The following is a 27,265-nucleotide window of genomic DNA, read 5'->3' as shown; positions in this document are numbered from 1 at the left end:
TCATGCGGACATGATATCCATGGGATTCCTGTGACGTGTGGTAACGCGTGTACATCGCGTAGTGATCGATGGTCAACTGAGGGGATGTAGGGCATCCATCCCGTGGGTATCTGTCATCTCTACCTGTTGGGAGCATCTCAGGTGCTGTCTTCCAGGAGCTCTTCGGAAACAAGCACTAATACATCGTTGTTACCCCTAGTCGCCCTACTCCGCCGTAGAACATTATTGGAACGTATTCCCTCCATCCAAACGCATGCTCGGACCCATTTCACCAACCTCTCTTCACCGCAGTCACCCACACACCCTCTCCAGCCTCTGGTGTCTATCGTTCTACTCTCTACCTCCACAAGGTGAACATTTTGAGCTCCCAGGATTGGAGTAAGAACCTGCCCTCTCTGTCTTTCTGTGCCCGGCTCGTTTGATGTTCCATCGTGACCTTTAGCTCCGCCTCTGTTGCTGCAGACCAGAGGATTTCGTTCTTTTCTATGGCCAAAGAGTATTCCATGGTGTCTATATGCCACATTTTTGTTAATCCATTTCCCGGCCGATGGACACTTAGGTTGTCTTAGCCACATCTTCCCTACCTGCACGTCCTTCATAGGCTCTCTGCAAGAAGAAAAATATGGCTCTTTCTGCCCGACCTCGCAGGCAGTCAGACCTTACCGTTGTCTTCCCCTGTTCCCTAAAAGTCGCTGTTATTCTATTCTTTTTCAAGGTGCCCTGATTTCATGCTGTTCAAACACACACGTTTTACCATCAATTTGTAGAGTCAACACAATTGTCACAGCGGTCCTGAGGTGACGTACATCCTCAGCTTACGAAGATAACAGGATTAAGAGATTAAAGTAAAGACAGGCGTAAGAAATTATAAAAGCATTATTTGGGAACTGATGAATGTCCGTATTGAAATGAAATCCTCACAATTTACGTGCCTCGGCCGCAGCTCCAGCCGCTCCCTCCGTTCGGGGTCCCTGACTTCCCGCAACGTACACGTGCATGTGCGTACACATGCTCCCGCTCACCGTCGACAGGTTTGAGATTCTCGCCTATTCTGGATGTGAAAATGAATCTTGAGAGGTCCCATTAGTCAGACCAACCTGGCCACGGGCATTGAAGCGTGGAGATGCAGCAGTTCGTGGGGAAAACCCAACGGCCAGGCTGACCAAAGCGCATGTGCGGGGTTGGGGTTCCTGACAGACTTCTAGCCGAAGTTTGCTTCCCATTGCCTGACCTACGCTCTCTATCGTCTCTCCAAATGTCAAGGAACATGTGGAGATGGTACCTATCCCCAGCGCCAAGATTCGCTGTGGGACTTTTTTCCCATCCCCTCCTTAGCACAGATGAGCCCAGTTCTCCAACCTCTATTCAACCCGTACTGATCTTATTGTTTGGCTGATTCCCCAGGTCAATGGCAGAAGTCAGTCGACTTCTTGCCAAAACCCCTCTGTAGGGGCAAAGTAGACGTCCAACCAACTGCACAAACCTGTCCCGTGTCATTCGTGGGATCTTGGCACAGTCGGATCACCTGCAGGGACCAGACCCTATCGGGGATAGAGATGTTTGCCATCCCCACGGGAGGCTGGCTTGCTTGCCAGCGTGTTGTGGGTGGATGTCAGTGGGTGACAGCGACGGACGAAGGTGTCCGATCCCGTGGCTGGCGTCCACCCTAGCCCGGGGCAAGGGGCTGACACCAAGGAAAGGAGAGAAGCATGTCGCGTGCTGGGAGCTGGAAGAAGGAGTCCAGGGTGTCCAGGGGGTGCACAGGGCTGGCTGGCCAGGTCTGGGAGTGAGGCTGTGCAGTCAAACGGAGGTTGTGCAGATGCCTGGGGCGTTAGGGCACCTCGCGGGCTGCCTATGCCATAGGTCGGAGGGATCCCAGCTGGTGGCGGAGCTGGCGTGAGTCTGAAGAGGCTGAAGGAGGCCAGGGCTGGGGGATATGAGTCGTCTGAGAGAGGGGCATTGACGGCGAGACGGAGAGTTGGCTGTGTGAGACAGAGACAGAGAGATAGAGACATAGAGACAGAGAGAGAGAGAGAGACAGAGAAAGACAGAGAGTGAGAGAGAGAGAGAGTGAGAGTGTGAGTGTGTGTGTGTGTGTGTGCGCGTCAGAGTGTGTGTGTGAGTGAAGGGGTGGGTGGCGTGAGACAAAGGTGGGGGAGGGAGGGCTGAGCCTGAAGGCTGGTGGGAACAGTACATTTTCAGCCGGTTGGTCTGGGCAGGAACGAAGTCTGTGTGGTCAAAGGGGACCCGCGCCGGCGAGACTGGGATGCTGCTTGGGCTGGGCGGTCAGAGTATGGAGTGGGGCTGGGGTGAGGTGGCAAGCAGCCCAGGGTGGGAGAGACATCGTGACAGAGCGACTGGAGGCCACGTCCCACGTCCCAAAAGGGTAGGGAATGCAACTGGACCCGAGACATAAATAAGCCGTCTTCAGGACGCACATTCACGTCTCAGGCATGTGTCTGGGGCTGAGATGAAAAGAGGTCCGAGGGGGAGAAACAAGGCAGCATCCTCGACTAAAGTGGTGGATTGGGGTTAGGTTGGGAGTTGCGACATGGCGGTGGTGGTGCCGGCAGAATGAGGGGAGAGAGTGTGGAGTAGCCGGAACACGGTGAATATAGACGGTGCACATGCCACGCGTACACTCGTGTGGTCGCGTTAAGGACTGTGTGACCAACTAGGGGAAAGTGATGAGTTACTCCCTGGAGTCGCGACTTCCTTCCTACTGGAAGGGCAACCATGGCATCATTTTCTGGATGTGGGGAGCCAGCGAGGGGGGGGGGGGGAGAGAGACAGAGAGAGACAGAGAGAGAGAGAGAGAGAGAGAGAGAGAGAGAGAGGTCGAGGCGGTGAAATGTGAAGAGAAGGGGTGGTGCGAGTGGCTGCAAGCCCGTGGTGCCTGGCGGTGTTCCGTGAAGTGAAATGCGTCGGGCAGAGGCGGTGGCAGGGCAATGAAGAGAAACAGGACCAGGAGGCTGCCAAGTTCTGGTGTCTGGCGCGCTCTCGTGTCTGGAGGGGTTGTTGTCACCAAGGTGTGTGGGTGCGTGGGGTAGGCTCATCCCTAAGTCAGTCGAGAGAGGCACGGAAGAAAGGGCAGAGGGCCGTCGCGCGTGGGAGCGCAGCCGGTGCCGGACTCGCTCGCGCGCCCCGAGTGTAAGGAGGCGGCAGAGGCGAGCGCAGCTACGCCTTGGTGCTGCTGCAGCACCAAAATGGGAGGGCGTGCTGCATGGGCCGGGAATCGAACCCGGGCCTCCCGCGTGGCAGGCGAGAATTCTACCACTGAACCACCCATGCACCGATGGCAAACGCCAACGGAAGCTGGCACAGCGGAACTCGCCACCAGCCGCCGTTCACTGGTCACCGCCTGCCGTGGGCCTCCGTCCTATTGCAGCGTCCACGAGAGGCTGGCCCGATGGGGCGAGCAGAAGGGGAGGCTCTCGTCACGTCGAGGGACCTGAGGCGGGGCGCGGAGGGAGAGCGGAGGGAGAGAGGCCGACTCGTCCCATCTTGCGCTTTCTCTGCCGCCCAGGGTCGAGAGACTGCCCGCCGGGGTCTCCAGGGGAAGGACCGGCCGTGGCCCGCGCCCGAATGCCCGTGTGGGCAGATTTGCTGTGGCGGGCCTTGCTGAGCGCGGATCCCCGGCACAGACCCAGAGTTTTTGTGTTTTGTTTTTGTTGTTTCTTTCTGTCTTTCTTTCTTTCGTGAGGTGTTTTTTTTTTCACCACCGTGGGGCCAGCCTTCTCACTTGTGTCACCAGCAGGTGAGAGGCGGGATGGGTGTGTCAGCGAGCGGGGGCGGCGATGGGGAACGGGTCTCGCAGCCGTGGCGTGCGGCTCAGAAACGCAGACCAGGTCCGTGGGCGCCTCGCTCCTGCGCTCTGACCCACGCCACCGGCTCGCACTTGGGGTCCGGCCCCCTGGGCTGGTAGGGAGGCTGGAGCGCGAGAAAGGAGCGGAGGAGCGCTTCGGCAGAGCCGCAGCTGGCTGACCCTGGAGAAGGCGCGCTGGGTGTGGCTGGGACGGCCCAGGCCGCGGCTTCCCGCGTGGGGATGCGCTGTGGCGCAGAGCTGGTCCCGGCGGGGCCAGGCGTTTGTGGGCGGGTGACGGGGATCTAGGGCTTCCGCTCGTGATTCCTCTTGGGCTGTCTTTCCGGGTTTGGACTCGCCTGCCCGGCTGTGTGCAGGGTTCCCGCTGCCTCTGGCCGGCAGGCGTCCGGGCTGCAGGTGGGCCGGCAGGCAGGTGTTAGCGGGAAGGGAGCACAGGTAGCGAGGTGGGATCGGCGACCTGGCTAGGGTGTCGGCAGAATGGAATGCGCGGCCGGGGTCCGAGGGGTCGGAGGAAAGGACAGGATGCTGGATGGCGTGCCTCTGGTGGGAGACGTGTGTGCGGCTCCACGAGCGAGTCGCTCGCTGCTGCTCAGCGGTCAGAAGTTGGAGGGTGAAACCGGGCGGGCTGTTCAGGCCAGGACGCCTCTGGGCAGCGCAGCGGCGATTCAAGGCGGTGGGCGGTGGGCGCAGGCCGGTGGGAGGAAGGAGGGAAAAGGAGGAATAGGGGAAGAATCTGGGCTGTGTCTGTTTGGGCGAGTGAGGAGAAGGCGGGCGGAGGAGATAGGCAGGGAAGAGCGTGGAAGGTGGTCGCGGTCGCTCGCTGTGTGTGGGGCCAGGGAAGAGGGCGTGTGAGGTGGTGGGGAGGGCGTCTGTCCGAAGGGCAATTGGTAGAGGGTCGCGGGCGCTGGCGCATGGTCCTGGGCTGTTTCTGCGACAGCCGGCGGGTGGGCAGGAAGAACGGACGTGCCTGAGAAGCGGCGGCGTTTTGGAGGCTTGCTTCAAGGGGGCTGGAGTCTGGAGAGCGGGCAAGGGCTCAAGGCAGGAAGCGGCCAAAGGTGCTCCAGGGTTGCCATGGGCGTTGCCCTCCGGCGGGCGGGCCAAAAGGTCGGCTTGTCAGGAGTGGGATTCGAACCCACGCCTCCAGGGGAGACTGCGACCTGAACGCAGCGCCTTAGACCGCTCGGCCATCCTGACGGCGCGCCGGGGCGCGTCGCCGCTGGCATGGCTGGGACCCGGCGCGAACGCCTGCGCCCTTGGCCGGCGCCTGTCTGGGTTCGGTGCGCAACCGACGGACCGCGCGGGCGGAGCGGGCGCCAAGTGAACGGAGCCGGCTGGCGTTGGCGTGGACGCCCCCGCGTCCCCACCCCGGACCCAAAGGGTCCGCGTCGGGCCGGCCGCCGCCGGCGCACGCCCCAGCCCCCGCGCCTCCGCTCGCCGAACCCCGCAGGGCGTGCGCCCACCGCGTCCTAGGAGCAGCGGCCTGACTGTTTCGCCCGCGCCTCCTCCTGCCCCGGCGCGATCCCCGCGTTGGAGACAGCAGGCAGGGCGCGCGGGGAGGTTCCACGCCGCTCCGGTACCTGTCGGGGTCCGGCTCCGGCTCCGGGTCCCAGCGGGATCGCAGGGTGCTTTGTTGGGTGTCGGGGTAGGTCGTGCCAACGGTGGCGGGGGGCGGGTGGCAGGTGACGGGTGGCGTGTGGCGGGTGGCGGGCGGCGGGCGGCGGGTGGAAGGCGAGCACGCGCCCGGCCCCTGCCGTCGGGGGAGGGGATCAAGGCAGGGCTAGGCGTCCGCGGTCGGAGTGGGGTCTGGCGTCCCGGCGACCGTCGCCGTCGTCCTCGTTAGTATAGTGGTGAGTATCCCCGCCTGTCACGCGGGAGACCGGGGTTCGATTCCCCGACGGGGAGGCAGCCGTGCTTTTTGGGCCGCCGCCTCGGACCCAGCCTGTGGGCCCTCCTTCTCTCTCCTTCCTCCGCCCTCCCGCTAGTCGCAGGGCGCCATCTCGGGCCTGGCCCCTTGGCCCCCTGGGCCTCCTGGGCCCCCTTGGCCTCCTACCTTTTCTTCTCGCCCGCGGCTTGGTCGCCCGCAGCCGGGCGGCCTCCTCTGGCCCCCACGGCGCCCAGAGAGCTGCCGGCCCAAAGTGGGTGTCGGAAGAGGCTTTCTGCGAGGCACAGGGCCCGGCGCCCGGTGGGAGGCGGAGGAGTGGGGACCCCGTCGGCGCCGGCCGTGTCCCCGCCGGGCACCTGGTGGGGAAGGGCTCTGGCGGCCCCGGGCGGCGAGGGAGCGAGAGCGCCCCCAGAGGCAGGCGGGCGGAACGGGGCAGCCGCGCTGGCCTTGCCCCGGTGGGGCGCGGGGCGGCCTTTGGCGGGGCCGCGGCAGCGCGGAGCTGCGGGCGGGCGGACGGACCGGGCGTCGGGGCCGGCCTGCCCCGGGCGTCGGCGGCGCGCTGGTGGGAGCCCCGGGCCGGCGCGGCGGGGCTGCCCGCGCCGTGCGGCGTTGGTGGTATAGTGGTGAGCATAGCTGCCTTCCAAGCAGTTGACCCGGGTTCGATTCCCGGCCAACGCAGCGGGCGGACCTTTTGCGGAGGTCCCCGTCGCGGAGCTCGCGTCGCAGCTTGGCCTGTGGCTGCGTGCCTGTGCGCCGGGGAAGGAGGCGCGCGGTGTTTGGAGGGTGTGCTGCGAACAGGGCCAGAGCTGCTCGTGAGGGCAGGCCGGTTGCCGCCGGCGTCGCGGGGGCTGGTTGCGGTGTTTGTTTTAAAGCGAAGCAGGGGACAGGCGCCAAGGTAGCGCCCAGTGCTGGGGCCAGAGGCGCTGGGGCCAGGAGGCGCAAGCCGGGCCCTGAAGCCGCCTCTCCCTGGTGGTCTAGTGGTTAGGATTCGGCGCTCTCACCGCCGCGGCCCGGGTTCGATTCCCGGTCAGGGAAGCCTTCCTTCGTTGGCTCTGCCTGCCAACTGCCAGGCCCCTTCACACCTCCCCTTTTGACCAACAGGCTGGCTCGCTTCTCCCGCGCCCCAGCCACAACCTCCCTCGGCTTCCACGTGCGCCGCCCCAACGCTCCCCGCCTACCTCCACCCATCCCTCCTTTTGGCCTCGCTGGCGCCACCTTCGCAACATCAGCTTCACAGCCCTTCCTTGTCAGGTGCTCGCCTCGCTCCCACTCTTTGTCAGCGGCAAAGCCCACTGGCCAGGTCAGGCTTTCTCCTCCCATGGCCGCCAGGTGACCCGCCACCACCACCACCGCCACCCTCGCACTCTCGGCTGGCCACGGGATGGGCCAGGACTCTCGAGCGGAGCGGCTTCTGCCAAGCCAAGCCGAGTGGCTGACGGGCCACTTCTCTCTCGGCTGCGGGGGATCTGCGCCTAATGGTTGGGCCACCCGCCAGAGCCACTCATGTCAGCAAGCGCACTGGCTTTCCCAAGGCGTGGGATCCGTGATTGGGCTCCACGGGTGTCAGCGGCTTTGGTAGTAATGGCAGCGGAACTTGAGGAGCCGAGACCACGGGCCATAGCGCTAGGGAGGCAGAGCTGCGACAATCACCCTGGCAGCATGACTATGTTTTTCTTCATGCGGACATGATATCCATGGGATTCCTGTGACGTGTGGTAACGCGTGTACATCGCGTAGTGATCGATGGTCAACTGAGGGGATGTAGGGCATCCATCCCGTGGGTATCTGTCATCTCTACCTGTTGGGAGCATCTCAGGTGCTGTCTTCCAGGAGCTCTTCGGAAACAAGCACTAATACATCGTTGTTACCCCTAGTCGCCCTACTCCGCCGTAGAACATTATTGGAACGTATTCCCTCCATCCAAACGCATGCTCGGACCCATTTCACCAACCTCTCTTCACCGCAGTCACCCACACACCCTCTCCAGCCTCTGGTGTCTATCGTTCTACTCTCTACCTCCACAAGGTGAACATTTTGAGCTCCCAGGATTGGAGTAAGAACCTGCCCTCTCTGTCTTTCTGTGCCCGGCTCGTTTGATGTTCCATCGTGACCTTTAGCTCCGCCTCTGTTGCTGCAGACCAGAGGATTTCGTTCTTTTCTATGGCCAAAGAGTATTCCATGGTGTCTATATGCCACATTTTTGTTAATCCATTTCCCGGCCGATGGACACTTAGGTTGTCTTAGCCACATCTTCCCTACCTGCACGTCCTTCATAGGCTCTCTGCAAGAAGAAAAATATGGCTCTTTCTGCCCGACCTCGCAGGCAGTCAGACCTTACCGTTGTCTTCCCCTGTTCCCTAAAAGTCGCTGTTATTCTATTCTTTTTCAAGGTGCCCTGATTTCATGCTGTTCAAACACACACGTTTTACCATCAATTTGTAGAGTCAACACAATTGTCACAGCGGTCCTGAGGTGACGTACATCCTCAGCTTACGAAGATAACAGGATTAAGAGATTAAAGTAAAGACAGGCGTAAGAAATTATAAAAGCATTATTTGGGAACTGATGAATGTCCGTATTGAAATGAAATCCTCACAATTTACGTGCCTCGGCCGCAGCTCCAGCCGCTCCCTCCGTTCGGGGTCCCTGACTTCCCGCAACGTACACGTGCATGTGCGTACACATGCTCCCGCTCACCGTCGACAGGTTTGAGATTCTCGCCTATTCTGGATGTGAAAATGAATCTTGAGAGGTCCCGTTAGTCAGACCAACCTGGCCACGGGCATTGAAGCGTGGAGATGCAGCAGTTCGTGGGGAAAACCCAACGGCCAGGCTGACCAAAGCGCATGTGCGGGGTTGGGGTTCCTGACAGACTTCTAGCCCAAGTTTGCTTCCCATTGCCTGACCTACGCTCTCTATCGTCTCTCCAAATGTCAAGGAACATGTGGAGATGGTACCTATCCCCAGCGCCAAGATTCGCTGTGGGACTTTTTTTCCCCTCCCCTCCTTAGCACAGATGAGCCCAGTTCTACAACCCTCTATTCAACCCGTACTGATCTTATTGTTTGGCTGATTCCCCAGGTCAATGGCAGAAGTCAGTCGACTTCTTGCCAAAACCCCTCTGTAGGGGCAAAGTAGACGTCCAACCAACTGCACAAACCTGTCCCGTGTCATTCGTGGGATCTTGGCACAGTCGGATCACCTGCAGGGACCAGACCCTATCGGGGATAGAGATGTTTGCCATCCCCACGGGAGGCTGGCTTGCTTGCCAGCGTGTTGTGGGTGGATGTCAGTGGGTGACAGCGACGGACGAAGGTGTCCGATCCCGTGGCTGGCGTCCACCCTAGCCCGGGGCAAGGGGCTGACACCAAGGAAAGGAGAGAAGCATGTTGCGTGCTGGGAGCTGGAAGAAGGAGTCCAGGGTGTCCAGGGGGTGCACAGGGCTGGCTGGCCAGGTCTGGGAGTGAGGCTGTGCAGTCAAACGGAGGTTGTGCAGATGCCTGGGGCGTTAGGGCACCTCGCGGGCTGCCTATGCCATAGGTGGGAGGGATCCCAGCTGGTGGCGGAGCTGGCGTGAGTCTGAAGAGGCTGAAGGAGGCCAGGGCTGGGGGATATGAGTCGTCTGAGAGAGGGGCATTGACGGCGAGACGGAGAGTTGGCTGTGTGAGACAGAGACAGAGAGATAGAGACATAGAGACAGAGAGAGAGAGAGAGACAGAGAAAGACAGAGAGAGAGAGAGAGAGAGAGAGAGTGTGAGTGTGTGTGTGTGTGTGTGTGCGTGCGCGTCTGAGTGTGTGTGTGAGTGAAGGGGTGGGTGGCGTGAGACCAAGGTGGGGGAGGGAGGGCTGAGCCTGAAGGCTGGTGGGAACAGTACATTTTCAGCCGGTTGGTCTGGGCAGGAACGAAGTCTGTGTGGTCAAAGGGGACCCGCGCCGGCGAGACTGGGATGCTGCTTGGGCTGGGCGGTCAGAGTATGGAGTGGGGCTGGGGTGAGGTGGCAAGCAGCCCAGGGTGGGAGAGACATCGTGACAGAGCGACTGGAGGCCACGTCCCACGTCCCAAAAGGGTAGGGAATGCAACTGGACCCGAGACATAAATAAGCCGTCTTCAGGACGCACATTCACGTCTCAGGCATGTGTCTGGGGCTGAGATGAAAAGAGGTCCGAGGGAGAGAAACAAGGCAGCATCCTCGACTAAAGTGGTGGATTGGGGTTAGGTTGGGAGTTGCGACATGGCGGTGGTGGTGCCGGCAGAATGAGGGGAGAGAGTGTGGAGTAGCCGGAACACGGTGAATATAGACGGTGCACATGCCACGCGTACACTCGTGTGGTCGCGTTAAGGACTGTGTGACCAACTAGGGGAAAGTGATGAGTTACTCCCTGGAGTCGCGACTTCCTTCCTACTGGAAGGGCAACCATGGCATCATTTTCTGGATGTGGGGAGCCAGCGAGGGGGGGGGAGAGAGAGACAGAGAGAGAGAGAGAGAGAGAGGTCGAGGCGGTGAAATGTGAAGAGAAGGGGTGGTGCGAGTGGCTGCAAGCCCGTGGTGCCTGGCGGTGTTCCGTGAAGTGAAATGCGTCGGGCAGAGGCGGTGGCAGGGCAATGAAGAGAAACAGGACCAGGAGGCTGCCAAGTTCTGGTGTCTGGCGCGCTCTCGTGTCTGGAGGGGTTGTTGTCACCAAGGTGTGTGGGTGCGGGGGGTAGGCTCATCCCTAAGTCAGTCGAGAGAGGCACGGAAGAAAGGGCAGAGGGCCGTCGCGCGTGGGAGCGCAGCCGGTGCCGGACTCGCTCGCGCGCCCCGAGTGTAAGGAGGCGGCAGAGGCGAGCGCAGCTACGCCTTGGTGCTGCTGCAGCACCAAAATGGGAGGGCGTGCTGCATGGGCCGGGAATCGAACCCGGGCCTCCCGCGTGGCAGGCGAGAATTCTACCACTGAACCACCCATGCACCGATGGCAAACGCCAACGGAAGCTGGCACAGCGGAACTCGCCACCAGCCGCCGTTCACTGGTCACCGCCTGCCGTGGGCCTCCGTCCTATTGCAGCGTCCACGAGAGGCTGGCCCGATGGGGCGAGCAGAAGGGGAGGCTCTCGTCACGTCGAGGGACCTGAGGCGGGGCGCGGAGGGAGAGCGGAGGGAGAGAGGCCGACTCGTCCCATCTTGCGCTTTCTCTGCCGCCCAGGGTCGAGAGACTGCCCGCCGGGGTCTCCAGGGGAAGGACCGGCCGTGGCCCGCGCCCGAATGCCCGTGTGGGCAGATTTGCTGTGGCGGGCCTTGCTGAGCGCGGATCCCCGGCACAGACCCAGAGTTTTTGTGTTTTGTTTTTGTTGTTTCTTTCTTTCTTTCTTCCTTTCTTTCTTTCTTTCTTTCTTTCTTTCTTTCTTTCTTTCTTTCTTTCTTTCGTAAGGTGTTTTTTTTTTTTCACCACCGTGGGGCCAGCCTTCTCACTTGTGTCACCAGCAGGTGAGAGGCGGGATGGGTGTGTCAGCGAGCGGGGGCGGCGATGGGGAACGGGTCTCGCAGCCGTGGCGTGCGGCTCAGAAACGCAGACCAGGTCCGTGGGCGCCTCGCTCCTGCGCTCTGACCCACGCCACCGGCTCGCACTTGGGGTCCGGCCCCCTGGGCTGGTAGGGAGGCTGGAGCGCGAGAAAGGAGCGGAGGAGCGCTTAGGCAGAGCCGCAGCTGGCTGACCCTGGAGAAGGCGCGCTGGGTGTTGCTGGGACGGCCCAGGCCGCGGCTTCCCGCGTGGGGATGCGCTGTGGCGCAGAGCTGGTCCCGGCGGGGCCAGGCGTTTGTGGGCGGGTGACGGGGATCTAGGGCTTCCGCTCGTGATTCCTCTTGGGCTGTCTTTCCGGGTTTGGACTCGCCTGCCAGGCTGTGTGCAGGGTTCCCGCTGCCTCTGGCCGGCAGGCGTCCGGGCTGCAGGTGGGCCGGCAGGCAGGTGTTAGCGGGAAGGGAGCACAGGTAGCGAGGTGGGATCGGCGACCTGGCTAGGGTGTCGGCAGAATGGAATGCGCGGCCGGGGTCCGAGGGGTCGGAGGAAAGGACAGGATGTTGGATGGCGTGCCTCTGGTGGGAGACGTGTGTGCGGCTCCACGAGCGAGTCGCTCGCTGCTGCTCAGCGGTCAGAAGTTGGAGGGTGAAACCGGGCGGGCTGTTCAGGCCAGGACGCCTCTGGGCAGCGCAGCGGCGATTCAAGGCGGTGGGCGGTGGGCGGAGGCCGGTGGGAGGAAGGAGGGAAAAGGAGGAATAGGGGAAGAATCTGGGCTGTGTCTGTTTGGGCGAGTGAGGAGAAGGCGGGCGGAGGAGATAGGCAGGGAAGAGCGTGGAAGGTGGTCGCGGTCGCTCGCTGTGTGTGGGGCCAGGGAAGAGGGCGTGTGAGGTGGTGGGGAGGGCGTCTGTCCGAAGGGCAATTGGTAGAGGGTCGCGGGCGCTGGCGCATGGTCCTGGGCTGTTTCTGCGACAGCCGGCGGGTGGGCAGGAAGAACGGACGTGCCTGAGAAGCGGCGGCGTTTTGGAGGCTTGCTTCAAGGGGACTGGAGTCTGGAGAGCGGGCAAGGGCTCAAGGCAGGAAGCGGCCAAAGGTGCTCCAGGGTTGCCATGGGCGTTGCCCTCCGGCGGGCGGGCCAAAAGGTCGGCTTGTCAGGAGTGGGATTCGAACCCACGCCTCCAGGGGAGACTGCGACCTGAACGCAGCGCCTTAGACCGCTCGGCCATCCTGACGGCGCGCCGGGGCGCGTCGCCGCTGGCATGGCTGGGACCCGGCGCGAACGCCTGCGCCCTTGGCCGGCGCCTGTCTGGGTTCGGTGCGCAACCGACGGACCGCGCGGGCGGAGCGGGCGCCAAGTGAACGGAGCCGGCTGGCGTTGGCGTGGACGCCCCCGCGTCCCCACCCCGGACCCAAAGGGTCCGCGTCGGGCCGGCCGCCGCCGGCGCACGCCCCAGCCCCCGCGCCTCCGCTCGCCGAACCCCGCAGGGCGTGCGCCCACCGCGTCCTAGGAGCAGCGGCCTGACTGTTTCGCCCGCGCCTCCTCCTGCCCCGGCGCGATCCCCGCGTTGGAGACAGCAGGCAGGGCGCGCGGGGAGGTTCCACGCCGCTCCGGTACCTGTCGGGGTCCGGCTCCGGCTCCGGGTCCCAGCGGGATCGCAGGGTGCTTTGTTGGGTGTCGGGGTAGGTCGTGCCAACGGTGGCGGGGGGCGGGTGGCAGGTGACGGGTGGCGTGTGGCGGGTGGCGGGCGGCGGGCGGCGGGTGGAAGGCGAGCACGCGCCCGGCCCCTGCCGTCGGGGGAGGGGATCAAGGCAGGGCTAGGCGTCCGCGGTCGGAGTGGGGTCTGGCGTCCCGGCGACCGTCGCCGTCGTCCTCGTTAGTATAGTGGTGAGTATCCCCGCCTGTCACGCGGGAGACCGGGGTTCGATTCCCCGACGGGGAGGCAGCCGTGCTTTTTGGGCCGCCGCCTCGGACCCAGCCTGTGGGCCCTCCTTCTCTCTCCTTCCTCCGCCCTCCCGCTAGTCGCAGGGCGCCATCTCGGGCCTGGCCCCTTGGCCCCCTGGGCCTCCTGGGCCCCCTTGGCCTCCTACCTTTTCTTCTCGCCCGCGGCTTGGTCGCCCGCAGCCGGGCGGCCTCCTCTGGCCCCCACGGCGCCCAGAGAGCTGCCGGCCCAAAGTGGGTGTCGGAAGAGGCTTTCTGCGAGGCACAGGGCCCGGCGCCCGGTGGGAGGCGGAGGAGTGGGGACCCCGTCGGCGCCGGCCGTGTCCCCGCCGGGCACCTGGTGGGGAAGGGCTCTGGCGGCCCCGGGCGGCGAGGGAGCGAGAGCGCCCCCAGAGGCAGGCGGGCGGAACGGGGCAGCCGCGCTGGCCTTGCCCCGGTGGGGCGCGGGGCGGCCTTTGGCGGGGCCGCGGCAGCGCGGAGCTGCGGGCGGGCGGACGGACCGGGCGTCGGGGCCGGCCTGCCCCGGGCGTCGGCGGCGCGCTGGTGGGAGCCCCGGGCCGGCGCGGCGGGGCTGCCCGCGCCGTGCGGCGTTGGTGGTATAGTGGTGAGCATAGCTGCCTTCCAAGCAGTTGACCCGGGTTCGATTCCCGGCCAACGCAGCGGGCGGACCTTTTGCGGAGGTCCCCGTCGCGGAGCTCGCGTCGCAGCTTGGCCTGTGGCTGCGTGCCTGTGCGCCGGGGAAGGAGGCGCGCGGTGTTTGGAGGGTGTGCTGCGAACAGGGCCAGAGCTGCTCGTGAGGGCAGGCCGGTTGCCGCCGGCGTCGCGGGGGCTGGTTGCGGGTGTTTGTTTTAAAGCGAAGCAGGGGACAGGCGCCAAGGTAGCGCCCAGTGCTGGGGCCAGAGGCGCTGGGGCCAGGAGGCGCAAGCCGGGCCCTGAAGCCGCCTCTCCCTGGTGGTCTAGTGGTTAGGATTCGGCGCTCTCACCGCCGCGGCCCGGGTTCGATTCCCGGTCAGGGAAGCCTTCCTTCGTTGGCTCTGCCTGCCAACTGCCAGGCCCCTTCACACCTCCCCTTTTGACCAACAGGCTGGCTCGCTTCTCCCGCGCCCCAGCCACAACCTCCCGCGGCTTCCACGTGCGCCGCCCCAACGCTCCCCGCCTACCTCCACCCATCCCTCCTTTTGGCCTCGCTGGCGCCACCTTCGCAACATCAGCTTCACAGCCCTTCCTTGTCAGGTGCTCGCCTCGCTCCCACTCTTTGTCAGCGGCAAAGCCCACTGGCCAGGTCAGGCTTTCTCCTCCCATGGCCGCCAGGTGACCCGCCACCACCACCACCGCCACCCTCGCACTCTCGGCTGGCCACGGGATGGGCCAGGACTCTCGAGCGGAGCGGCTTCTGCCAAGCCAAGCCGAGTGGCTGACGGGCCACTTCTCTCTCGGCTGCGGGGGATCTGCGCCTAATGGTTGGGCCACCCGCCAGAGCCACTCATGCCAGCAAGCGCACTGGCTTTCCCAAGGCGTGGGATCCGTGATTGGGCTCCACGGGTGTCAGCGGCTTTGGTAGTAATGGCAGCGGAACTTGAGGAGCCGAGACCACGGGCCATAGCGCTAGGGAGGCAGAGCTGCGACAATCACCCTGGCAGCATGACTATGTTTTTCTTCATGCGGACATGATATCCATGGGATTCCTGTGACGTGTGGTAACGCGTGTACATCGCGTAGTGATCGATGGTCAACTGAGGGGATGTAGGGCATCCATCCCGTGGGTATCTGTCATCTCTACCTGTTGGGAGCATCTCAGGTGCTGTCTTCCAGGAGCTCTTCGGAAACAAGCACTAATACATCGTTGTTACCCCTAGTCGCCCTACTCCGCCGTAGAACATTATTGGAACGTATTCCCTCCATCCAAACGCATGCTCGGACCCATTTCACCAACCTCTCTTCACCGCAGTCACCCACACACCCTCTCCAGCCTCTGGTGTCTATCGTTCTACTCTCTACCTCCACAAGGTGAACATTTTGAGCTCCCAGGATTGGAGTAAGAACCTGCCCTCTCTGTCTTTCTGTGCCCGGCTCGTTTGATGTTCCATCGTGACCTTTAGCTCCGCCTCTGTTGCTGCAGACCAGAGGATTTCGTTCTTTTCTATGGCCAAAGAGTATTCCATGGTGTCTATATGCCACATTTTTGTTAATCCATTTCCCGGCCGATGGACACTTAGGTTGTCTTAGCCACATCTTCCCTACCTGCACGTCCTTCATAGGCTCTCTGCAAGAAGAAAAATATGGCTCTTTCTGCCCGACCTCGCAGGCAGTCAGACCTTACCGTTGTCTTCCCCTGTTCCCTAAAAGTCGCTGTTATTCTATTCTTTTTCAAGGTGCCCTGATTTCATGCTGTTCAAACACACACGTTTTACCATCAATTTGTAGAGTCAACACAATTGTCACAGCGGTCCTGAGGTGACGTACATCCTCAGCTTACGAAGATAACAGGATTAAGAGATTAAAGTAAAGACAGGCGTAAGAAATTATAAAAGCATTATTTGGGAACTGATGAATGTCCGTATTGAAATGAAATCCTCACAATTTACGTGCCTCGGCCGCAGCTCCAGCCGCTCCCTCCGTTCGGGGTCCCTGACTTCCCGCAACGTACACGTGCATGTGCGTACACATGCTCCCGCTCACCGTCGACAGGTTTGAGATTCTCGCCTATTCTGGATGTGAAAATGAATCTTGAGAGGTCCCGTTAGTCAGACCAACCTGGCCACGGGCATTGAAGCGTGGAGATGCAGCAGTTCGTGGGGAAAACCCAACGGCCAGGCTGACCAAAGCGCATGTGCGGGGTTGGGGTTCCTGACAGACTTCTAGCCGAAGTTTGCTTCCCATTGCCTGACCTACGCTCTCTATCGTCTCTCCAAATGTCAAGGAACATGTGGAGATGGTACCTATCCCCAGCGCCAAGATTCGCTGTGGGACTTTTTTCCCATCCCCTCCTTAGCACAGATGAGCCCAGTTCTCCAACCTCTATTCAACCCGTACTGATCTTATTGTTTGGCTGATTCCCCAGGTCAATGGCAGAAGTCAGTCGACTTCTTGCCAAAACCCCTCTGTAGGGGCAAAGTAGACGTCCAACCAACTGCACAAACCTGTCCCGTGTCATTCGTGGGATCTTGGCACAGTCGGATCACCTGCAGGGACCAGACCCTATCGGGGATAGAGATGTTTGCCATCCCCACGGGAGGCTGGCTTGCTTGCCAGCGTGTTGTGGGTGGATGTCAGTGGGTGACAGCGACGGACGAAGGTGTCCGATCCCGTGGCTGGCGTCCACCCTAGCCCGGGGCAAGGGGCTGACACCAAGGAAAGGAGAGAAGCATGTCGCGTGCTGGGAGCTGGAAGAAGGAGTCCAGGGTGTCCAGGGGGTGCACAGGGCTGGCTGGCCAGGTCTGGGAGTGAGGCTGTGCAGTCAAACGGAGGTTGTGCAGATGCCTGGGGCGTTAGGGCACCTCGCGGGCTGCCTATGCCATAGGTCGGAGGGATCCCAGCTGGTGGCGGAGCTGGCGTGAGTCTGAAGAGGCTGAAGGAGGCCAGGGCTGGGGGATATGAGTCGTCTGAGAGAGGGGCATTGACGGCGAGACGGAGAGTTGGCTGTGTGAGACAGAGACAGAGAGATAGAGACATAGAGACAGAGAGAGAGAGAGAGACAGAGAAAGACAGAGAGTGAGAGAGAGAGAGAGTGAGAGTGTGAGTGTGTGTGTGTGTGTGTGCGCGTCAGAGTGTGTGTGTGAGTGAAGGGGTGGGTGGCGTGAGACAAAGGTGGGGGAGGGAGGGCTGAGCCTGAAGGCTGGTGGGAACAGTACATTTTCAGCCGGTTGGTCTGGGCAGGAACGAAGTCTGTGTGGTCAAAGGGGACCCGCGCCGGCGAGACTGGGATGCTGCTTGGGCTGGGCGGTCAGAGTATGGAGTGGGGCTGGGGTGAGGTGGCAAGCAGCCCAGGGTGGGAGAGACATCGTGACAGAGCGACTGGAGGCCACGTCCCACGTCCCAAAAGGGTAGGGAATGCAACTGGACCCGAGACATAAATAAGCCGTCTTCAGGACGCACATTCACGTCTCAGGCATGTGTCTGGGGCTGAGATGAAAAGAGGTCCGAGGGGGAGAAACAAGGCAGCATCCTCGACTAAAGTGGTGGATTGGGGTTAGGTTGGGAGTTGCGACATGGCGGTGGTGGTGCCGGCAGAATGAGGGGAGAGAGTGTGGAGTAGCCGGAACACGGTGAATATAGACGGTGCACATGCCACGCGTACACTCGTGTGGTCGCGTTAAGGACTGTGTGACCAACTAGGGGAAAGTGATGAGTTACTCCCTGGAGTCGCGACTTCCTTCCTACTGGAAGGGCAACCATGGCATCATTTTCTGGATGTGGGGAGCCAGCGAGGGGGGGGGGGGGAGAGAGACAGAGAGAGACAGAGAGAGAGAGAGAGAGAGAGAGAGAGAGAGAGAGGTCGAGGCGGTGAAATGTGAAGAGAAGGGGTGGTGCGAGTGGCTGCAAGCCCGTGGTGCCTGGCGGTGTTCCGTGAAGTGAAATGCGTCGGGCAGAGGCGGTGGCAGGGCAATGAAGAGAAACAGGACCAGGAGGCTGCCAAGTTCTGGTGTCTGGCGCGCTCTCGTGTCTGGAGGGGTTGTTGTCACCAAGGTGTGTGGGTGCGTGGGGTAGGCTCATCCCTAAGTCAGTCGAGAGAGGCACGGAAGAAAGGGCAGAGGGCCGTCGCGCGTGGGAGCGCAGCCGGTGCCGGACTCGCTCGCGCGCCCCGAGTGTAAGGAGGCGGCAGAGGCGAGCGCAGCTACGCCTTGGTGCTGCTGCAGCACCAAAATGGGAGGGCGTGCTGCATGGGCCGGGAATCGAACCCGGGCCTCCCGCGTGGCAGGCGAGAATTCTACCACTGAACCACCCATGCACCGATGGCAAACGCCAACGGAAGCTGGCACAGCGGAACTCGCCACCAGCCGCCGTTCACTGGTCACCGCCTGCCGTGGGCCTCCGTCCTATTGCAGCGTCCACGAGAGGCTGGCCCGATGGGGCGAGCAGAAGGGGAGGCTCTCGTCACGTCGAGGGACCTGAGGCGGGGCGCGGAGGGAGAGCGGAGGGAGAGAGGCCGACTCGTCCCATCTTGCGCTTTCTCTGCCGCCCAGGGTCGAGAGACTGCCCGCCGGGGTCTCCAGGGGAAGGACCGGCCGTGGCCCGCGCCCGAATGCCCGTGTGGGCAGATTTGCTGTGGCGGGCCTTGCTGAGCGCGGATCCCCGGCACAGACCCAGAGTTTTTGTGTTTTGTTTTTGTTGTTTCTTTCTGTCTTTCTTTCTTTCGTGAGGTGTTTTTTTTTTCACCACCGTGGGGCCAGCCTTCTCACTTGTGTCACCAGCAGGTGAGAGGCGGGATGGGTGTGTCAGCGAGCGGGGGCGGCGATGGGGAACGGGTCTCGCAGCCGTGGCGTGCGGCTCAGAAACGCAGACCAGGTCCGTGGGCGCCTCGCTCCTGCGCTCTGACCCACGCCACCGGCTCGCACTTGGGGTCCGGCCCCCTGGGCTGGTAGGGAGGCTGGAGCGCGAGAAAGGAGCGGAGGAGCGCTTCGGCAGAGCCGCAGCTGGCTGACCCTGGAGAAGGCGCGCTGGGTGTGGCTGGGACGGCCCAGGCCGCGGCTTCCCGCGTGGGGATGCGCTGTGGCGCAGAGCTGGTCCCGGCGGGGCCAGGCGTTTGTGGGCGGGTGACGGGGATCTAGGGCTTCCGCTCGTGATTCCTCTTGGGCTGTCTTTCCGGGTTTGGACTCGCCTGCCCGGCTGTGTGCAGGGTTCCCGCTGCCTCTGGCCGGCAGGCGTCCGGGCTGCAGGTGGGCCGGCAGGCAGGTGTTAGCGGGAAGGGAGCACAGGTAGCGAGGTGGGATCGGCGACCTGGCTAGGGTGTCGGCAGAATGGAATGCGCGGCCGGGGTCCGAGGGGTCGGAGGAAAGGACAGGATGCTGGATGGCGTGCCTCTGGTGGGAGACGTGTGTGCGGCTCCACGAGCGAGTCGCTCGCTGCTGCTCAGCGGTCAGAAGTTGGAGGGTGAAACCGGGCGGGCTGTTCAGGCCAGGACGCCTCTGGGCAGCGCAGCGGCGATTCAAGGCGGTGGGCGGTGGGCGCAGGCCGGTGGGAGGAAGGAGGGAAAAGGAGGAATAGGGGAAGAATCTGGGCTGTGTCTGTTTGGGCGAGTGAGGAGAAGGCGGGCGGAGGAGATAGGCAGGGAAGAGCGTGGAAGGTGGTCGCGGTCGCTCGCTGTGTGTGGGGCCAGGGAAGAGGGCGTGTGAGGTGGTGGGGAGGGCGTCTGTCCGAAGGGCAATTGGTAGAGGGTCGCGGGCGCTGGCGCATGGTCCTGGGCTGTTTCTGCGACAGCCGGCGGGTGGGCAGGAAGAACGGACGTGCCTGAGAAGCGGCGGCGTTTTGGAGGCTTGCTTCAAGGGGGCTGGAGTCTGGAGAGCGGGCAAGGGCTCAAGGCAGGAAGCGGCCAAAGGTGCTCCAGGGTTGCCATGGGCGTTGCCCTCCGGCGGGCGGGCCAAAAGGTCGGCTTGTCAGGAGTGGGATTCGAACCCACGCCTCCAGGGGAGACTGCGACCTGAACGCAGCGCCTTAGACCGCTCGGCCATCCTGACGGCGCGCCGGGGCGCGTCGCCGCTGGCATGGCTGGGACCCGGCGCGAACGCCTGCGCCCTTGGCCGGCGCCTGTCTGGGTTCGGTGCGCAACCGACGGACCGCGCGGGCGGAGCGGGCGCCAAGTGAACGGAGCCGGCTGGCGTTGGCGTGGACGCCCCCGCGTCCCCACCCCGGACCCAAAGGGTCCGCGTCGGGCCGGCCGCCGCCGGCGCACGCCCCAGCCCCCGCGCCTCCGCTCGCCGAACCCCGCAGGGCGTGCGCCCACCGCGTCCTAGGAGCAGCGGCCTGACTGTTTCGCCCGCGCCTCCTCCTGCCCCGGCGCGATCCCCGCGTTGGAGACAGCAGGCAGGGCGCGCGGGGAGGTTCCACGCCGCTCCGGTACCTGTCGGGGTCCGGCTCCGGCTCCGGGTCCCAGCGGGATCGCAGGGTGCTTTGTTGGGTGTCGGGGTAGGTCGTGCCAACGGTGGCGGGGGGCGGGTGGCAGGTGACGGGTGGCGTGTGGCGGGTGGCGGGCGGCGGGCGGCGGGTGGAAGGCGAGCACGCGCCCGGCCCCTGCCGTCGGGGGAGGGGATCAAGGCAGGGCTAGGCGTCCGCGGTCGGAGTGGGGTCTGGCGTCCCGGCGACCGTCGCCGTCGTCCTCGTTAGTATAGTGGTGAGTATCCCCGCCTGTCACGCGGGAGACCGGGGTTCGATTCCCCGACGGGGAGGCAGCCGTGCTTTTTGGGCCGCCGCCTCGGACCCAGCCTGTGGGCCCTCCTTCTCTCTCCTTCCTCCGCCCTCCCGCTAGTCGCAGGGCGCCATCTCGGGCCTGGCCCCTTGGCCCCCTGGGCCTCCTGGGCCCCCTTGGCCTCCTACCTTTTCTTCTCGCCCGCGGCTTGGTCGCCCGCAGCCGGGCGGCCTCCTCTGGCCCCCACGGCGCCCAGAGAGCTGCCGGCCCAAAGTGGGTGTCGGAAGAGGCTTTCTGCGAGGCACAGGGCCCGGCGCCCGGTGGGAGGCGGAGGAGTGGGGACCCCGTCGGCGCCGGCCGTGTCCCCGCCGGGCACCTGGTGGGGAAGGGCTCTGGCGGCCCCGGGCGGCGAGGGAGCGAGAGCGCCCCCAGAGGCAGGCGGGCGGAACGGGGCAGCCGCGCTGGCCTTGCCCCGGTGGGGCGCGGGGCGGCCTTTGGCGGGGCCGCGGCAGCGCGGAGCTGCGGGCGGGCGGACGGACCGGGCGTCGGGGCCGGCCTGCCCCGGGCGTCGGCGGCGCGCTGGTGGGAGCCCCGGGCCGGCGCGGCGGGGCTGCCCGCGCCGTGCGGCGTTGGTGGTATAGTGGTGAGCATAGCTGCCTTCCAAGCAGTTGACCCGGGTTCGATTCCCGGCCAACGCAGCGGGCGGACCTTTTGCGGAGGTCCCCGTCGCGGAGCTCGCGTCGCAGCTTGGCCTGTGGCTGCGTGCCTGTGCGCCGGGGAAGGAGGCGCGCGGTGTTTGGAGGGTGTGCTGCGAACAGGGCCAGAGCTGCTCGTGAGGGCAGGCCGGTTGCCGCCGGCGTCGCGGGGGCTGGTTGCGGTGTTTGTTTTAAAGCGAAGCAGGGGACAGGCGCCAAGGTAGCGCCCAGTGCTGGGGCCAGAGGCGCTGGGGCCAGGAGGCGCAAGCCGGGCCCTGAAGCCGCCTCTCCCTGGTGGTCTAGTGGTTAGGATTCGGCGCTCTCACCGCCGCGGCCCGGGTTCGATTCCCGGTCAGGGAAGCCTTCCTTCGTTGGCTCTGCCTGCCAACTGCCAGGCCCCTTCACACCTCCCCTTTTGACCAACAGGCTGGCTCGCTTCTCCCGCGCCCCAGCCACAACCTCCCTCGGCTTCCACGTGCGCCGCCCCAACGCTCCCCGCCTACCTCCACCCATCCCTCCTTTTGGCCTCGCTGGCGCCACCTTCGCAACATCAGCTTCACAGCCCTTCCTTGTCAGGTGCTCGCCTCGCTCCCACTCTTTGTCAGCGGCAAAGCCCACTGGCCAGGTCAGGCTTTCTCCTCCCATGGCCGCCAGGTGACCCGCCACCACCACCACCGCCACCCTCGCACTCTCGGCTGGCCACGGGATGGGCCAGGACTCTCGAGCGGAGCGGCTTCTGCCAAGCCAAGCCGAGTGGCTGACGGGCCACTTCTCTCTCGGCTGCGGGGGATCTGCGCCTAATGGTTGGGCCACCCGCCAGAGCCACTCATGTCAGCAAGCGCACTGGCTTTCCCAAGGCGTGGGATCCGTGATTGGGCTCCACGGGTGTCAGCGGCTTTGGTAGTAATGGCAGCGGAACTTGAGGAGCCGAGACCACGGGCCATAGCGCTAGGGAGGCAGAGCTGCGACAATCACCCTGGCAGCATGACTATGTTTTTCTTCATGCGGACATGATATCCATGGGATTCCTGTGACGTGTGGTAACGCGTGTACATCGCGTAGTGATCGATGGTCAACTGAGGGGATGTAGGGCATCCATCCCGTGGGTATCTGTCATCTCTACCTGTTGGGAGCATCTCAGGTGCTGTCTTCCAGGAGCTCTTCGGAAACAAGCACTAATACATCGTTGTTACCCCTAGTCGCCCTACTCCGCCGTAGAACATTATTGGAACGTATTCCCTCCATCCAAACGCATGCTCGGACCCATTTCACCAACCTCTCTTCACCGCAGTCACCCACACACCCTCTCCAGCCTCTGGTGTCTATCGTTCTACTCTCTACCTCCACAAGGTGAACATTTTGAGCTCCCAGGATTGGAGTAAGAACCTGCCCTCTCTGTCTTTCTGTGCCCGGCTCGTTTGATGTTCCATCGTGACCTTTAGCTCCGCCTCTGTTGCTGCAGACCAGAGGATTTCGTTCTTTTCTATGGCCAAAGAGTATTCCATGGTGTCTATATGCCACATTTTTGTTAATCCATTTCCCGGCCGATGGACACTTAGGTTGTCTTAGCCACATCTTCCCTACCTGCACGTCCTTCATAGGCTCTCTGCAAGAAGAAAAATATGGCTCTTTCTGCCCGACCTCGCAGGCAGTCAGACCTTACCGTTGTCTTCCCCTGTTCCCTAAAAGTCGCTGTTATTCTATTCTTTTTCAAGGTGCCCTGATTTCATGCTGTTCAAACACACACGTTTTACCATCAATTTGTAGAGTCAACACAATTGTCACAGCGGTCCTGAGGTGACGTACATCCTCAGCTTACGAAGATAACAGGATTAAGAGATTAAAGTAAAGACAGGCGTAAGAAATTATAAAAGCATTATTTGGGAACTGATGAATGTCCGTATTGAAATGAAATCCTCACAATTTACGTGCCTCGGCCGCAGCTCCAGCCGCTCCCTCCGTTCGGGGTCCCTGACTTCCCGCAACGTACACGTGCATGTGCGTACACATGCTCCCGCTCACCGTCGACAGGTTTGAGATTCTCGCCTATTCTGGATGTGAAAATGAATCTTGAGAGGTCCCATTAGTCAGACCAACCTGGCCACGGGCATTGAAGCGTGGAGATGCAGCAGTTCGTGGGGAAAACCCAACGGCCAGGCTGACCAAAGCGCATGTGCGGGGTTGGGGTTCCTGACAGACTTCTAGCCGAAGTTTGCTTCCCATTGCCTGACCTACGCTCTCTATCGTCTCTCCAAATGTCAAGGAACATGTGGAGATGGTACCTATCCCCAGCGCCAAGATTCGCTGTGGGACTTTTTTCCCATCCCCTCCTTAGCACAGATGAGCCCAGTTCTCCAACCTCTATTCAACCCGTACTGATCTTATTGTTTGGCTGATTCCCCAGGTCAATGGCAGAAGTCAGTCGACTTCTTGCCAAAACCCCTCTGTAGGGGCAAAGTAGACGTCCAACCAACTGCACAAACCTGTCCCGTGTCATTCGTGGGATCTTGGCACAGTCGGATCACCTGCAGGGACCAGACCCTATCGGGGATAGAGATGTTTGCCATCCCCACGGGAGGCTGGCTTGCTTGCCAGCGTGTTGTGGGTGGATGTCAGTGGGTGACAGCGACGGAAGAAGGTGTCCGATCCCGTGGCTGGCGTCCACCCTAGCCCGGGGCAAGGGGCTGACACCAAGGAAAGGAGAGAAGCATGTCGCGTGCTGGGAGCTGGAAGAAGGAGTCCAGGGTGTCCAGGGGGTGCACAGGGCTGGCTGGCCAGGTCTGGGAGTGAGGCTGTGCAGTCAAACGGAGGTTGTGCAGATGCCTGGGGCGTTAGGGCACCTCGCGGGCTGCCTATGCCATAGGTCGGAGGGATCCCAGCTGGTGGCGGAGCTGGCGTGAGTCTGAAGAGGCTGAAGGAGGCCAGGGCTGGGGGATATGAGTCGTCTGAGAGAGGGGCATTGACGGCGAGACGGAGAGTTGGCTGTGTGAGACAGAGACAGAGAGATAGAGACATAGAGACAGAGAGAGAGAGAGAGACAGAGAAAGACAGAGAGTGAGAGAGAGAGAGAGTGAGAGTGTGAGTGTGTGTGTGTGTGTGTGTGCGCGTCAGAGTGTGTGTGTGAGTGAAGGGGTGGGTGGCGTGAGACAAAGGTGGGGGAGGGAGGGCTGAGCCTGAAGGCTGCTGGGAACACTACATTTTCAGCCGGTTGGTCTGGGCAGGAACGAAGTCTGTGTGGTCAAAGGGGACCCGCGCCGGCGAGACTGGGATGCTGCTTGGGCTGGGCGGTCAGAGTATGGAGTGGGGCTGGGGTGAGGTGGCAAGCAGCCCAGGGTGGGAGAGACATCGTGACAGAGCGACTGGAGGCCACGTCCCACGTCCCAAAAGGGTAGGGAATGCAACTGGACCCGAGACATAAATAAGCCGTCTTCAGGACGCACATTCACGTCTCAGGCATGTGTCTGGGGCTGAGATGAAAAGAGGTCCGAGGGGGAGAAACAAGGCAGCATCCTCGACTAAAGTGGTGGATTGGGGTTAGGTTGGGAGTTGCGACATGGCGGTGGTGGTGCCGGCAGAATGAGGGGAGAGAGTGTGGAGTAGCCGGAACACGGTGAATATAGACGGTGCACATGCCACGCGTACACTCGTGTGGTCGCGTTAAGGACTGTGTGACCAACTAGGGGAAAGTGATGAGTTACTCCCTGGAGTCGCGACTTCCTTCCTACTGGAAGGGCAACCATGGCATCATTTTCTGGATGTGGGGAGCCAGCGAGGGGTGGGGGGGAGAGAGACAGAGAGAGAGAGAGAGAGAGAGAGAGAGAGAGAGAGAGGTCGAGGCGGTGAAATGTGAAGAGAAGGGGTGGTGCGAGTGGCTGCAAGCCCGTGGTGCCTGGCGGTGTTCCGTGAAGTGAAATGCGTCGGGCAGAGGCGGTGGCAGGGCAATGAAGAGAAACAGGACCAGGAGGCTGCCAAGTTCTGGTGTCTGGCGCGCTCTCGTGTCTGGAGGGGTTGTTGTCACCAAGGTGTGTGGGTGCGGGGGGTAGGCTCATCCCTAAGTCAGTCGAGAGAGGCACGGAAGAAAGGGCAGAGGGCCGTCGCGCGTGGGAGCGCAGCCGGTGCCGGACTCGCTCGCGCGCCCCGAGTGTAAGGAGGCGGCAGAGGCGAGCGCAGCTACGCCTTGGTGCTGCTGCAGCACCAAAATGGGAGGGCGTGCTGCATGGGCCGGGAATCGAACCCGGGCCTCCCGCGTGGCAGGCGAGAATTCTACCACTGAACCACCCATGCACCGATGGCAAACGCCAACGGAAGCTGGCACAGCGGAACTCGCCACCAGCCGCCGTTCACTGGTCACCGCCTGCCGTGGGCCTCCGTCCTATTGCAGCGTCCACGAGAGGCTGGCCCGATGGGGCGAGCAGAAGGGGAGGCTCTCGTCACGTCGAGGGACCTGAGGCGGGGCGCGGAGGGAGAGCGGAGGGAGAGAGGCCGACTCGTCCCATCTTGCGCTTTCTCTGCCGCCCAGGGTCGAGAGACTGCCCGCCGGGGTCTCCAGGGGAAGGACCGGCCGTGGCCCGCGCCCGAATGCCCGTGTGGGCAGATTTGCTGTGGCGGGCCTTGCTGAGCGCGGATCCCCGGCACAGACCCAGAGTTTTTGTGTTTTGTTTTTGTTGTTTCTTTCTGTCTTTCTTTCTTTCTTTCTTTCTTTCTTTCTTTCTTTCTTTCTTTCTTTCTTTCTTTCGTGTGGTGTTTTTTTTTTTCACCACCGTGGGGCCAGCCTTCTCACTTGTGTCACCAGCAGGTGAGAGGCGGGATGGGTGTGTCAGCGAGCGGGGGCGGCGATGGGGAACGGGTCTCGCAGCCGTGGCGTGCGGCTCAGAAACGCAGACCAGGTCCGTGGGCGCCTCGCTCCTGCGCTCTGACCCACGCCACCGGCTCGCACTTGGGGTCCGGCCCCCTGGGCTGGTAGGGAGGCTGGAGCGCGAGAAAGGAGCGGAGGAGCGCTTCGGCAGAGCCGCAGCTGGCTGACCCTGGAGAAGGCGCGCTGGGTGTGGCTGGGACGGCCCAGGCCGCGGCTTCCCGCGTGGGGATGCGCTGTGGCGCAGAGCTGGTCCCGGCGGGGCCAGGCGTTTGTGGGCGGGTGACGGGGATCTAGGGCTTCCGCTCGTGATTCCTCTTGGGCTGTCTTTCCGGGTTTGGACTCGCCTGCCCGGCTGTGTGCAGGGTTCCCGCTGCCTCTGGCCGGCAGGCGTCCGGGCTGCAGGTGGGCCGGCAGGCAGGTGTTAGCGGGAAGGGAGCACAGGTAGCGAGGTGGGATCGGCGACCTGGCTAGGGTGTCGGCAGAATGGAATGCGCGGCCGGGGTCCGAGGGGTCGGAGGAAAGGACAGGATGTTGGATGGCGTGCCTCTGGTGGGAGACGTGTGTGCGGCTCCACGAGCGAGTCGCTCGCTGCTGCTCAGCGGTCAGAAGTTGGAGGGTGAAACCGGGCGGGCTGTTCAGGCCAGGACGCCTCTGGGCAGCGCAGCGGCGATTCAAGGCGGTGGGCGGTGGGCGGAGGCCGGTGGGAGGAAGGAGGGAAAAGGAGGAATAGGGGAAGAATCTGGGCTGTGTCTGTTTGGGCGAGTGAGGAGAAGGCGGGCGGAGGAGATAGGCAGGGAAGAGCGTGGAAGGTGGTCGCGGTCGCTCGCTGTGTGTGGGGCCAGGGAAGAGGGCGTGTGAGGTGGTGGGGAGGGCGTCTGTCCGAAGGGCAATTGGTAGAGGGTCGCGGGCGCTGGCGCATGGTCCTGGGCTGTTTCTGCGACAGCCGGCGGGTGGGCAGGAAGAACGGACGTGCCTGAGAAGCGGCGGCGTTTTGGAGGCTTGCTTCAAGGGGGCTGGAGTCTGGAGAGCGGGCAAGGGCTCAAGGCAGGAAGCGGCCAAAGGTGCTCCAGGGTTGCCATGGGCGTTGCCCTCCGGCGGGCGGGCCAAAAGGTCGGCTTGTCAGGAGTGGGATTCGAACCCACGCCTCCAGGGGAGACTGCGACCTGAACGCAGCGCCTTAGACCGCTCGGCCATCCTGACGGCGCGCCGGGGCGCTTCGCCGCTGGCATGGCTGGGACC

General features: G+C 62.9%; 17 non-coding genes across 17 annotated transcripts, besides 16 other annotated features; 9 read left to right on the top strand and 8 right to left on the bottom strand.

Annotated features, from left to right (window-relative positions):
- Positions 1-3,220: 3,220 nt before the first annotated feature.
- TRG-GCC1-4 (tRNA-Gly (anticodon GCC) 1-4) lies at positions 3,221-3,291 on the bottom strand. The gene has a single exon. It is a non-coding gene; the product is annotated as a tRNA-Gly (tRNA).
- Positions 3,551-4,542: an enhancer, noted in NCBI's record as "H3K27ac-H3K4me1 hESC enhancer chr1:161434007-161434998 (GRCh37/hg19 assembly coordinates)". NCBI's record gives its function as "activates a minimal SCP1, AML or CMV promoter by ChIP-STARR-seq in primed H9 embryonic stem cells {active_cell/tissue: H9 hESC(primed)}" and the evidence as "EXISTENCE:reporter gene assay evidence [ECO:0000049][PMID:30033119]".
- Positions 4,543-5,533: an enhancer, noted in NCBI's record as "H3K27ac-H3K4me1 hESC enhancer chr1:161433016-161434006 (GRCh37/hg19 assembly coordinates)". NCBI's record gives its function as "activates a minimal SCP1, AML or CMV promoter by ChIP-STARR-seq in primed H9 embryonic stem cells {active_cell/tissue: H9 hESC(primed)}" and the evidence as "EXISTENCE:reporter gene assay evidence [ECO:0000049][PMID:30033119]".
- TRL-CAG1-4 (tRNA-Leu (anticodon CAG) 1-4) lies at positions 4,935-5,017 on the bottom strand. Its single transcript has one exon. It is a non-coding gene; the product is annotated as a tRNA-Leu (tRNA).
- TRD-GTC2-4 (tRNA-Asp (anticodon GTC) 2-4) lies at positions 5,654-5,725 on the top strand. Its single transcript has one exon. It is a non-coding gene; the product is annotated as a tRNA-Asp (tRNA).
- A 586-nt stretch (positions 5,726-6,311) lies between these two features.
- Positions 6,312-6,383, top strand: TRG-TCC2-4 (tRNA-Gly (anticodon TCC) 2-4). The gene has a single exon. It is a non-coding gene; the product is annotated as a tRNA-Gly (tRNA).
- Positions 6,570-7,087: an enhancer, noted in NCBI's record as "H3K27ac-H3K4me1 hESC enhancer chr1:161431462-161431979 (GRCh37/hg19 assembly coordinates)". NCBI's record gives its function as "activates a minimal SCP1, AML or CMV promoter by ChIP-STARR-seq in naive and primed H9 embryonic stem cells {active_cell/tissue: H9 hESC(naive and primed)}" and the evidence as "EXISTENCE:reporter gene assay evidence [ECO:0000049][PMID:30033119]".
- TRE-CTC1-4 (tRNA-Glu (anticodon CTC) 1-4) lies at positions 6,669-6,740 on the top strand. Its single transcript has one exon. It is a non-coding gene; the product is annotated as a tRNA-Glu (tRNA).
- Positions 10,140-10,752: an enhancer, noted in NCBI's record as "H3K27ac-H3K4me1 hESC enhancer chr1:161427797-161428409 (GRCh37/hg19 assembly coordinates)". NCBI's record gives its function as "activates a minimal SCP1, AML or CMV promoter by ChIP-STARR-seq in naive and primed H9 embryonic stem cells {active_cell/tissue: H9 hESC(naive and primed)}" and the evidence as "EXISTENCE:reporter gene assay evidence [ECO:0000049][PMID:30033119]".
- Positions 10,581-10,651, bottom strand: TRG-GCC1-3 (tRNA-Gly (anticodon GCC) 1-3). Its single transcript has one exon. It is a non-coding gene; the product is annotated as a tRNA-Gly (tRNA).
- Positions 10,753-11,366: an enhancer, noted in NCBI's record as "H3K27ac-H3K4me1 hESC enhancer chr1:161427183-161427796 (GRCh37/hg19 assembly coordinates)". NCBI's record gives its function as "activates a minimal SCP1, AML or CMV promoter by ChIP-STARR-seq in primed H9 embryonic stem cells {active_cell/tissue: H9 hESC(primed)}" and the evidence as "EXISTENCE:reporter gene assay evidence [ECO:0000049][PMID:30033119]".
- Positions 11,367-11,980: an enhancer, noted in NCBI's record as "H3K27ac-H3K4me1 hESC enhancer chr1:161426569-161427182 (GRCh37/hg19 assembly coordinates)". NCBI's record gives its function as "activates a minimal SCP1, AML or CMV promoter by ChIP-STARR-seq in naive H9 embryonic stem cells {active_cell/tissue: H9 hESC(naive)}" and the evidence as "EXISTENCE:reporter gene assay evidence [ECO:0000049][PMID:30033119]".
- On the bottom strand, positions 12,345-12,427 carry TRL-CAG1-3 (tRNA-Leu (anticodon CAG) 1-3). The gene has a single exon. It is a non-coding gene; the product is annotated as a tRNA-Leu (tRNA).
- Positions 12,428-13,063: 636 nt separating this feature from the next.
- On the top strand, positions 13,064-13,135 carry TRD-GTC2-3 (tRNA-Asp (anticodon GTC) 2-3). Its single transcript has one exon. It is a non-coding gene; the product is annotated as a tRNA-Asp (tRNA).
- A 586-nt stretch (positions 13,136-13,721) lies between these two features.
- TRG-TCC2-3 (tRNA-Gly (anticodon TCC) 2-3) lies at positions 13,722-13,793 on the top strand. The gene has a single exon. It is a non-coding gene; the product is annotated as a tRNA-Gly (tRNA).
- Positions 13,824-14,437: an enhancer, noted in NCBI's record as "OCT4-H3K27ac-H3K4me1 hESC enhancer chr1:161424112-161424725 (GRCh37/hg19 assembly coordinates)". NCBI's record gives its function as "activates a minimal SCP1, AML or CMV promoter by ChIP-STARR-seq in naive and primed H9 embryonic stem cells {active_cell/tissue: H9 hESC(naive and primed)}" and the evidence as "EXISTENCE:reporter gene assay evidence [ECO:0000049][PMID:30033119]".
- TRE-CTC1-3 (tRNA-Glu (anticodon CTC) 1-3) lies at positions 14,080-14,151 on the top strand. Its single transcript has one exon. It is a non-coding gene; the product is annotated as a tRNA-Glu (tRNA).
- Positions 16,078-16,578: an enhancer, noted in NCBI's record as "H3K4me1 hESC enhancer chr1:161421971-161422471 (GRCh37/hg19 assembly coordinates)". NCBI's record gives its function as "activates a minimal SCP1, AML or CMV promoter by ChIP-STARR-seq in naive H9 embryonic stem cells {active_cell/tissue: H9 hESC(naive)}" and the evidence as "EXISTENCE:reporter gene assay evidence [ECO:0000049][PMID:30033119]".
- Positions 17,617-18,498: an enhancer, noted in NCBI's record as "H3K27ac-H3K4me1 hESC enhancer chr1:161420051-161420932 (GRCh37/hg19 assembly coordinates)". NCBI's record gives its function as "activates a minimal SCP1, AML or CMV promoter by ChIP-STARR-seq in naive H9 embryonic stem cells {active_cell/tissue: H9 hESC(naive)}" and the evidence as "EXISTENCE:reporter gene assay evidence [ECO:0000049][PMID:30033119]".
- On the bottom strand, positions 18,012-18,082 carry TRG-GCC1-2 (tRNA-Gly (anticodon GCC) 1-2). Its single transcript has one exon. It is a non-coding gene; the product is annotated as a tRNA-Gly (tRNA).
- Positions 19,383-20,264: an enhancer, noted in NCBI's record as "H3K27ac-H3K4me1 hESC enhancer chr1:161418285-161419166 (GRCh37/hg19 assembly coordinates)". NCBI's record gives its function as "activates a minimal SCP1, AML or CMV promoter by ChIP-STARR-seq in naive H9 embryonic stem cells {active_cell/tissue: H9 hESC(naive)}" and the evidence as "EXISTENCE:reporter gene assay evidence [ECO:0000049][PMID:30033119]".
- Positions 19,726-19,808, bottom strand: TRL-CAG1-2 (tRNA-Leu (anticodon CAG) 1-2). Its single transcript has one exon. It is a non-coding gene; the product is annotated as a tRNA-Leu (tRNA).
- Positions 20,265-21,148: an enhancer, noted in NCBI's record as "H3K27ac-H3K4me1 hESC enhancer chr1:161417401-161418284 (GRCh37/hg19 assembly coordinates)". NCBI's record gives its function as "activates a minimal SCP1, AML or CMV promoter by ChIP-STARR-seq in primed H9 embryonic stem cells {active_cell/tissue: H9 hESC(primed)}" and the evidence as "EXISTENCE:reporter gene assay evidence [ECO:0000049][PMID:30033119]".
- Positions 20,445-20,516, top strand: TRD-GTC2-2 (tRNA-Asp (anticodon GTC) 2-2). Its single transcript has one exon. It is a non-coding gene; the product is annotated as a tRNA-Asp (tRNA).
- On the top strand, positions 21,103-21,174 carry TRG-TCC2-2 (tRNA-Gly (anticodon TCC) 2-2). The gene has a single exon. It is a non-coding gene; the product is annotated as a tRNA-Gly (tRNA).
- Positions 21,306-21,858: an enhancer, noted in NCBI's record as "H3K27ac-H3K4me1 hESC enhancer chr1:161416691-161417243 (GRCh37/hg19 assembly coordinates)". NCBI's record gives its function as "activates a minimal SCP1, AML or CMV promoter by ChIP-STARR-seq in primed H9 embryonic stem cells {active_cell/tissue: H9 hESC(primed)}" and the evidence as "EXISTENCE:reporter gene assay evidence [ECO:0000049][PMID:30033119]".
- TRE-CTC1-2 (tRNA-Glu (anticodon CTC) 1-2) lies at positions 21,460-21,531 on the top strand. The gene has a single exon. It is a non-coding gene; the product is annotated as a tRNA-Glu (tRNA).
- Positions 21,859-22,412: an enhancer, noted in NCBI's record as "H3K27ac-H3K4me1 hESC enhancer chr1:161416137-161416690 (GRCh37/hg19 assembly coordinates)". NCBI's record gives its function as "activates a minimal SCP1, AML or CMV promoter by ChIP-STARR-seq in primed H9 embryonic stem cells {active_cell/tissue: H9 hESC(primed)}" and the evidence as "EXISTENCE:reporter gene assay evidence [ECO:0000049][PMID:30033119]".
- Positions 24,683-25,540: an enhancer, noted in NCBI's record as "OCT4-H3K27ac-H3K4me1 hESC enhancer chr1:161413009-161413866 (GRCh37/hg19 assembly coordinates)". NCBI's record gives its function as "activates a minimal SCP1, AML or CMV promoter by ChIP-STARR-seq in primed H9 embryonic stem cells {active_cell/tissue: H9 hESC(primed)}" and the evidence as "EXISTENCE:reporter gene assay evidence [ECO:0000049][PMID:30033119]".
- TRG-GCC1-1 (tRNA-Gly (anticodon GCC) 1-1) lies at positions 25,385-25,455 on the bottom strand. The gene has a single exon. It is a non-coding gene; the product is annotated as a tRNA-Gly (tRNA).
- Positions 25,541-26,398: an enhancer, noted in NCBI's record as "OCT4-H3K27ac-H3K4me1 hESC enhancer chr1:161412151-161413008 (GRCh37/hg19 assembly coordinates)". NCBI's record gives its function as "activates a minimal SCP1, AML or CMV promoter by ChIP-STARR-seq in naive and primed H9 embryonic stem cells {active_cell/tissue: H9 hESC(naive and primed)}" and the evidence as "EXISTENCE:reporter gene assay evidence [ECO:0000049][PMID:30033119]".
- Positions 26,399-27,256: an enhancer, noted in NCBI's record as "H3K27ac-H3K4me1 hESC enhancer chr1:161411293-161412150 (GRCh37/hg19 assembly coordinates)". NCBI's record gives its function as "activates a minimal SCP1, AML or CMV promoter by ChIP-STARR-seq in naive and primed H9 embryonic stem cells {active_cell/tissue: H9 hESC(naive and primed)}" and the evidence as "EXISTENCE:reporter gene assay evidence [ECO:0000049][PMID:30033119]".
- On the bottom strand, positions 27,144-27,226 carry TRL-CAG1-1 (tRNA-Leu (anticodon CAG) 1-1). The gene has a single exon. It is a non-coding gene; the product is annotated as a tRNA-Leu (tRNA).

This window comes from Homo sapiens, chromosome 1, assembly GCF_000001405.40.
Source record: "Homo sapiens chromosome 1, GRCh38.p14 Primary Assembly".
Classification (NCBI taxonomy): Eukaryota; Metazoa; Chordata; class Mammalia; order Primates; family Hominidae; genus Homo; species Homo sapiens.
The sequence above is the reverse complement of the archived record's forward strand: the minus strand, read 5'-3'. Positions and strand labels throughout refer to the sequence as shown.